The sequence below is a fragment of the Homo sapiens genome, chromosome X, assembly GCF_000001405.40.
Source record: "Homo sapiens chromosome X, GRCh38.p14 Primary Assembly".
NCBI lineage: Eukaryota > Metazoa > Chordata > Mammalia > Primates > Hominidae > Homo > Homo sapiens.
Window position 1 is genome coordinate 13175944 of NC_000023.11, and position 8344 is coordinate 13184287.

Below are 8344 nucleotides of genomic sequence, written 5' to 3' on the forward strand. Positions count from 1 at the left end.
AAAACCATACAAACAAAAAATCCCTCGTATTTCAGAAATAAATAAAGCTTTGGTTCCCCCCAAACTCTTCTTGTTGCTAGGTTTATTCCTTTTCTAGTTTTATTTTCCTTTTACCTTATTCTCATAACTATGGTATGAGTTTATAGTAGTGTTTCAGTTATCTAGTCTTATATACCAAACTATCCCAAAACATAGTGACTTAAAAAAAATCCATATTTATTTTGTTCACAAATACACACTTTGGGCAGGGCTTGGCAGGACAGCTTGTCTATGCTCCACATGGCATCACCTGGGGCCGCTCAAAGGCTGGAAGCTGGAATCATCTGAAGGTTTGCTCACTGATATGGTTTGGCTGTGTCCCCACCCAAATCTCAACTTGAATTGTATCTCCCAGAATTCCCACTTGTTGTGGGAGGAACTCAGGGAGAGATCACTGAATCATGGGGGCTGGTAATTCCCATACTATTCTCGTGATAGTGAATAAGTCTCATGAGATCCGATGGGTTTATCAGGGATTTCCACTTTTGCTTCTTCCTCATTTTTCTCTTGCTGCAGCCAGGTAAGAAGTGCCTTTCACCTCCCGCCATGATTTGGAGGCCTGCCCAGCCATGTGGAACTGTAAGTCCAATTAAACCTCTTTTTCTTCCCAGTCTCATTATGTCTTTATCAGCAGCGTGAAAATGGACTAATATATTCACTTATATGCTGTTAAGTGACAAGACAAAAACAACTGGGGCTATGGCCAGAACACCTACATGTCACCTGTTCATATGACTGACATAGTGGCTGGGTACCCACTGGGTACCACAAGATTCTATCCCAAGATAGAATGAGCTGGGCAGGAGCTATATTGCCTTTTATGACCTAGCTTTGGAAGTTAGGTAGCATTACTGCTACCACATTTTCTTCCTCAGGGTGGAAACACAGTCCTTCCCAGGGAAGGAAAATAGAGTCCATCTTTCAATTGAGAAATGACAAGATTCTGGAAAGGATGGGAAATACTGCTGTGGCTGTTTCGGAAAATAAAACCTGCTACAACTTCTCACACTTTTAAAAATGGTTTTAAATTTTTTTGTGGAGAGAGTTGGGCATGAATTAATAATTAACAAATTAATAAGGATATTTATTAGAAGTAAATGGCTTTGGGCCAGGCATGGTGGCTCATGCCTGTAATCTTAGCACTTTGAGAGGCCGAAGTGGGCAGATTGCCTGAGCTCAGCAGTTCGAGACCAGCCTGGCCAACGTGGTGAAACCCCATCTCTACTAAAACACATACATACACAAAAAAAATTAGCTGGGTGTGGTGGCACGTGCCTGTAGTCCCAGCTTCTTGGGAGGCTGAGGTACAAGAATTGCTGGAACCCAGGAGGCAGAGGTTGCAGTGAGCCAAGATTGAGCCACTGCACTCCAGCCTGGGTGACAGAGCAAGACTCCGTCGCAAAAAAAAAAAAACCAAAAACAAACAAAGAAATAACTTTGTTTTTTTTTTTCTTTCTAAACCTGTTGTACATCTTTACTTTCTAGTAAAGCAAATAACGTGGGATGACCAGGAAAATCATTAAAATTTATGAAAATTTATCTCTTGCTCCTGATGTTAGCAGCTGATCTAATTCCAACAGTTTCTAGCCCATGTATTATTTTGAATACATATTAGGGTCAGAGTGTCTGCTTTAAAGTCTCAAATTCAATGTGCATATAGGTCACCTAGGGGAGTCTTATTAAAATGCAGATTTTAATCCAGTCTGAGGTAGCCCTGAGATTCTGCGTTTCTAATAAGCTCCAAGGCGATGCTAATGCTGCTGGTCCACGGACTACACTTTGAGTAACGAGGTGTCAGATAGAAGTAGCTCTAAGATGTGTGCCCTGGGAATCTTAGTTGCTGGGACCTGTCCCATGTTCCTGGATGATAATCACAAGATTGAGGTTAATTCCTTCCTTCAGTTCTGAGGGCAAACCAGAGTCCCATTGGAGATGGCTGATTTTACCCTAAGTCTACCCAGAAGATGAGGCTTTAATTTCCTCTGCTGAACCTAAAGCCTCCTCTGTGGATCTGAAAGACTCAGGCCTAGGTGATGTGGAGCAGCAAGAAAACCACATTTCACCAGTTTGTCTGAAGCTCTCTTTGATGGGCTGCAGGTTCTTCTCGCATCTTTTCTGCCAGTGTGAATCTTACCAAGTTTGGTTTTTCTGATCCTAGACTCTGCGAGCTGGATCAGCAGCTGTGCAAACACTGGCCTTTTCAATAATGCCGTTTTCCCCTTCTACACTCTCAAACCACACTGACTGTACCTTGAAAGATTTCATCTCTGTTTGGGGCTGTGCTACTGAATTGTCATATTGCATGCCTCCTATATATAAGATAGAGCAGCTTCTGATTTAGTCCTGAGTCATTCTGGTCCTCAAAGACCCAGGAGATTTGGGCAGGATTACTAGATCCTACACATTTTCATTTTTTTTGCACAAATATCTGATGTAATAGGGCGAGAGCACTGACATTGTGCTCAAAAGGTCTCAGTGCTGTGAGCTCAGCCGTTTATTACTCTACATGAAGTGTTGTGAACCTCGTTTAAAAGTGATTATAAAAATTCCTATCTCAGAACATGGTTGGAAAGAAAATTAAGGCAAATAGTACAAAAGTTATTTTAAGATTAAAAATACGAAACAAATGAAAAAGCCCAGGTTGGCGGCCAAGCTACCCCAGTAGCAGTTATAGATACGATAGCAGAGAAGACATAATTTTATCTTATGTCTAGTCTTCCCAAAAGCATAGTTCAAGGACCAGTGCATCAAAATCACCTGGAATGTTTTTAAAAAAGGAAATCTTCAAGTCCCATTTTAGCTATAACTGAATCTGAATCCCTGAAGAGGAAGGTGGGTGTCTAGTAATTTGCATTGTAAGTAAGCCCATCAAATGACTCTTATGCACACTGAAGTTTTGAGAACCAGACTGTAGTCCCCACCAAGGGGGTGTTTGGTTGACCTCTGCTGGGTTAGGCTTCAGGGCAAACTCATAGACAATTTGGATTTTTTTCTACTCATTCCCAAACCCCAAACCCCAAATCCTGCTCGTCTCAGCTCCAGTCCTAGCTGGATTTCCGCAGTCTCCCATTTGTAAGTTTCAACCCTTACTCTAGTTTCTATCTGGCTCTCGTTCTAGACCTCCTGGGTGCCCTTCCCTGAAGCCTCAGCTTTTAGTCTTCCTCTAAGTTTTCCTCCTAAAGTGTGCCCTTAGGCTCCCCATACTAAATTCTCAGGCAAGTTTCTGCCCCGGGGGAGTAATTATCACAGCCTTCTCTTTTTGGGCTAGCTCACAGGGTGTCTGGGCTACAGTGCATCCCGTGAGTCAGCCCAGTTAGGGGAAAAGAAGGCTTACCAACAAGTCAGTTCATGTGGGGATCATCTCTTCACTCTGAAAGAAGGTACAGTGACAAACCATCCCCACCCCATTGCTTGCTGGGAAGCCAGAAGGACTCCAGCAATGAGCACAGAAGTGGCCCATAAGCACTCTTCTCCTGACTCATTTCAGAGGACAATTCAGACCTCTAGGGAGTTCTGAAATTGATCCAGTACAGAGTAGTTCCCATTTACTTTCACCATCCTAGAACCAGGGGAAACTAACTAGGGACCACTCAGTGTGATCAAGGTCACTTCCAGACGCTTCATCCATACCAGGCCTCAGTGATGTTCTCTGTTCTTAGCTTTCATAGAAAGAAATATATGTTAGTAAAGTGAGCCTTCGTCTCATAGATAAGTACCAATACAGCTTCTGCTGACTTTGCTAGCAGATGTATATAAGTCAAGTTCTAGTTAGTCTAGCTTGGCTTATTGTCCTGGAATCTTTTCCTGGCACATATATGTGTTCCTGAGGATGTGGGAATATTTGAGGATGTAGATTTTATTCCAAGTAACATTCATTCCCCTTGTCAGTGACTCTATAGGGTACTATCGATTACTATAGTCCTCTTTATTCTTTACCAAGAGAAATGATAGTTGCTTAATGTAGAAATCTATATTAAAAAGAAAAAATTTTAATTGACAATAAAATACAGTAGTTATTACATTTTAATCTACAATAAAAGAAAATATTTTGTTGGTTGGCATTAAAATGCTGACCTGCTGGTTTTGTGTAGGGGATGGTAGCTCAGTCTGCATGCTTACGTTTGTAAATAGTTTTATTGGAACACAGCCACATATATATATTTTTTTTACATATGGTCTATAGCTGCTTTCTCACTACAGTAGCAAGAAGGGAATATTTGTGACAGGATCGTATGACCCTCAAAGCCTAAAATATTTACTATCTGGCTTTTTACAGGAAAAAGTTTGTAACCCCCCTATAGACGATAAGCACCTAGAGATCATAGAACAGGTTTAGTTTGATTATTTTGTAAAGAACTCAGCACAACTCTATACAACTAATAAGTACATCTTGGTGTGTTTGGTGATTTCCAGAGGTTAAGTAAATAGGGCTTTTAAACTTCTATATGGAAGGGGAAAAAAATTGAAGACACAAAAAATGTTAATCATGGCTATCTTTGAATAGTAGGATTATAGAGCAGTTTAATTTTCTTCTTTTTTCTTTCTGGATTTGCTAGATGTCCTTCAATGAATATTTATTACACACACATACACACACACACACATCCACACACACATCCCAACAACTCCCCCCACTCCCAGGATATTTGGTGGGGTCTAGTTCTTTAAACAAAAAAGACCTAAACAATATGGAAATTACTTTTTTCTAAGTCAATGTGGAGATGAGAATAGAGGGAAACTGTCTTTCATAATCAAATCATAATTAAATTAAAACAGTATTATTCTAAACCTCTTTTAGCATTTTGCTCCTTTTATAAATATTCATGTAGGTTTGTCAATCTAAAGAAAAATAATGGATTAGGATTATTCTATAACGTATTTTACAACCATAAACCCAGGTCATAATCCTTAGTAGGTAACAGGCAGTCATATTTTCTAGATTACTATTGCTGAGTTGTGTATTAGGACACTGTGGTTGCAGTTGACAGAAAGCTGACTCAACCTATGCCAAAAAGAGGAGGCATTTATTGGCACACACACTCAAACCACAGGAAGGATGTAGGAGCAACTGGAACCAGCTCAAACACCATCAGCTTTCCCTTTCTCTCCCCCTACTTCTTTCTATGGCATGGGAATCATTCCCTCAAGCCAGCACACTAGATCTAGTTTGAAAAATGGCAGGAGGATTCTGATAGGTCTTGCTTGCGTCATGTGCTCATTCCTGGTTGCGGGAGGGGAGGTGGAAGTATATTGTGCTGGAAAGTGTTGGTCAGGGTAAAGAGAAAGTGAGTTTTGGCTGGGTACGGTGGTGCACTCCTGTAATCCCAGCTACTCAGGAGGCTGAGGCAGAAGAATCACTTGAGAGATCTGGCAAGATGGCTGAATAGGAGTGGCTCCCAGTGAGACCAATGCAGAAGGTGGGTGATTTCTGCATTTCCAACTGAGGTACCTGGTTCATCTCACTGGGACTGGTTAGACAGTGGGTATAGCCAATGGAGGGTAAGCAGAAGCAGGGCAAGGCGTCGCCTCACCTGGAAAGTGCAAGGGGCCGGGGACCTCCCTCCCCTAGCCAAGGGAAGCCATGAGGGACTGCGCTATCCAGCCCAGATACTATGCTTTTCCCACGGTTTTTGCAACCCACAGACCAAGAGATCCCCTCGTGTGCCTACACCACCAGGGCCCTGGGTTTCAAGCACAAAACTGCGCAGCTATTTGGGTAGACACTGAGCTAGCTGCAGGAGTTTTTTTTTTTTTTTGTACCCCAGTGGTGCCTGGAACCCTAGTGAGACAGAACCATTCACTCCACTGAAGCCAGGGAGCCAAGTGGTCTCACTCACGGGTGCCACTCCCACGGAGCCCAGCAAGCTAAGAACCACTAGCTTGAAATTTTTGCTGCCAGCACAGCAGTCTGAAGTTGACCTGGGATGATCAAACTTGGTGGTGGGAGGGGCGTCCACCATTACTGAGGCTTGAGTAGGCAGTTTTCCCCTGACAGTGTTGAGGAAGCTGGGAAGTTCTGATTGGGCAGAACTCACTACAGTGCAGCAAAGTGGCTGTGTCCAGACTGCCTCCCTAGATTGCTCCTCACTGGGCAGGGCATCTCTGAAAGAAAGGCAGCAGCCCCAGTCAGGGGCTTATAGATAAAACTCCCATCCCCCTGGGACAGAGCATATGGGAGAAGGGGCAGCTGTGGGCACAGCTTCAGCAAACTTAAACATTCCTATCTGCTGGCTCTGAAGAGAGCAGCGAATCTCCCAGCATGGCACTCGAGCTCTGCTAAGGGACAGGCTGCCTCCTCAAGTGGGTCTCTGACCTCCATGCCTCCTGACTGGAAGACAACTCCCAGCAGGGGTTGACAGACACCTCATATAGGAGAGCCCTGGCTGGCATCAGGTGGGTGCCCCTCTGGGACAAAGCATTTAGAGGAAGGAGCAGGCAGCAATATTAATTGTTCTGGGGCCTCCGCTGGTGATACCCAGGCAAACAGGGTCTAGAATGGAGCTCCAGTGAACTCCAGCAGACCTGCAGAAGAGGGGCCTGACAGAAGAAAAACTAACAAACAGAAAGCAATAACATCAACATCAACAAAAAGGATGCCCACACAAAAACCCTATCCAAAGGTCACCAGCATCAAAGATCAAAGGTAGATAAATCCACAAAGATGAGGAAAAACCGGCGCAAAAATCCTGAAAATTCCAAAAACCAGAATGTCTTTTCTCCTCCAAATGATCACAACTCCTCTCCAGCAAGAGCACAAAACTGGACAGAGAATGAGTTTGACAAATTGACAGAAGTAGGCTTCAGAAGGTGGGTAATAACGAACTCCTCTGAGCTAACGAAGCATATTCTAACCCAATGCAAGGAAGCTAAGAACCTTGATAAAAGGTTACAGGAACTGCTAACTAGAATAACCAGTTTAAAGAAAAACATAAATGACCTGATGGAGCTGAAAAACACAGCACGAGAACTTCGTGAAGCATACGCAAGTATCAATAGCTGAATCGATCAAGTGGAAGAAAGGATATCAGAAATTGAAGATCAACTTAATGAAATAAGGTGTGAAGACAAGATTAGAGAAAAAAGAATGAAAACGAAAAAAACAAAGCCTCCAAGAAATATGGGACTATGTGAAAAGAAGAAACCTATGATTGACTGGTGTCCCTGAAAGTGACAGGGAGAATGGAACCAAGTTGGAAACACACTTCAGGATATTATCCAGGAGAACTTCCCCAACCTAGCAAGACAAGCCAACATTCAAATTCAGGAAATACAGAGAACACCACTAAGATACTCCTCAAGAAGAGCAACCCCAAGACACATAATTTTCAGATTCTTCAAGGTCGAAATGAAGGAAAAAATGTTAAGGGCAGCCAGAGAGAAAAGTCAGGTTACCTACAAAGGGAAGCTCATCAGACCAACAGCAGATCTCTCTGCAGAACCCCTACAAGCCAGAAGCCCCTACAGGCCCACTCAGTGGGGGGCCAATATTCAACATTCTTAAAGAAAATAATTTTCAACCCAGAATTTCATATCCAGCCGAACTAAGCTTCATAAATGAAGGAGAAATAAAATCCTTTCCAGACAAGCAAATGCTGAGGGATTTTGTTACCACTAGGCCTGCCTTACAAGAGCTCCTGAAGGAAGCACTAAATATGGAAAGGAAAAACTGGTACCAGCCACTGCAAAAACATACCAAATTGTAAAGACCATTGACACTATGAAGAAACTGCATCAACTAATGTGCAAAATAAACAACTAGCATCATGATGACAGGATCAAATTCACACATAACAATATTAACCTTAAATGTAAATAGGCTAAATGCCCCAGTTGCAAAACACATACTGGCAAATTAGATAAAGAGTCAAGACCCACTGGTGTGCTGTATTTAGGAGACCCATCTCTCATGCAAAGACACACATATGCTCAAAATAAAGGGATGGAGGAATATCTACCAAGCAAATAGAAAGCAAAAAAAAAAAGCAGGGGTTGCAATCCTAGTCTCTGATAACACAGGCTTTAAACCAACAAAGATCCAAAAAGACAAAGAAGGGCATTACATAATGGTAAAGGGATCAATGCAACAAGAAGAGCTAACTATCCTAAATATATATATGCACCCAATACAGGAACACCCAGATTCATAAAGCAAGATCTTAGAGACCTACAAAGAGACTTAGACTCCCACACAATAATAGTGAAAGACTTTAACACCCCACTGTCAATATCAGACAGATCAACAAGACAGAAAGTTAACAAGGATATTCAGGACTTGAACTCAGCCCTGGACCAAGTGGACCTAATA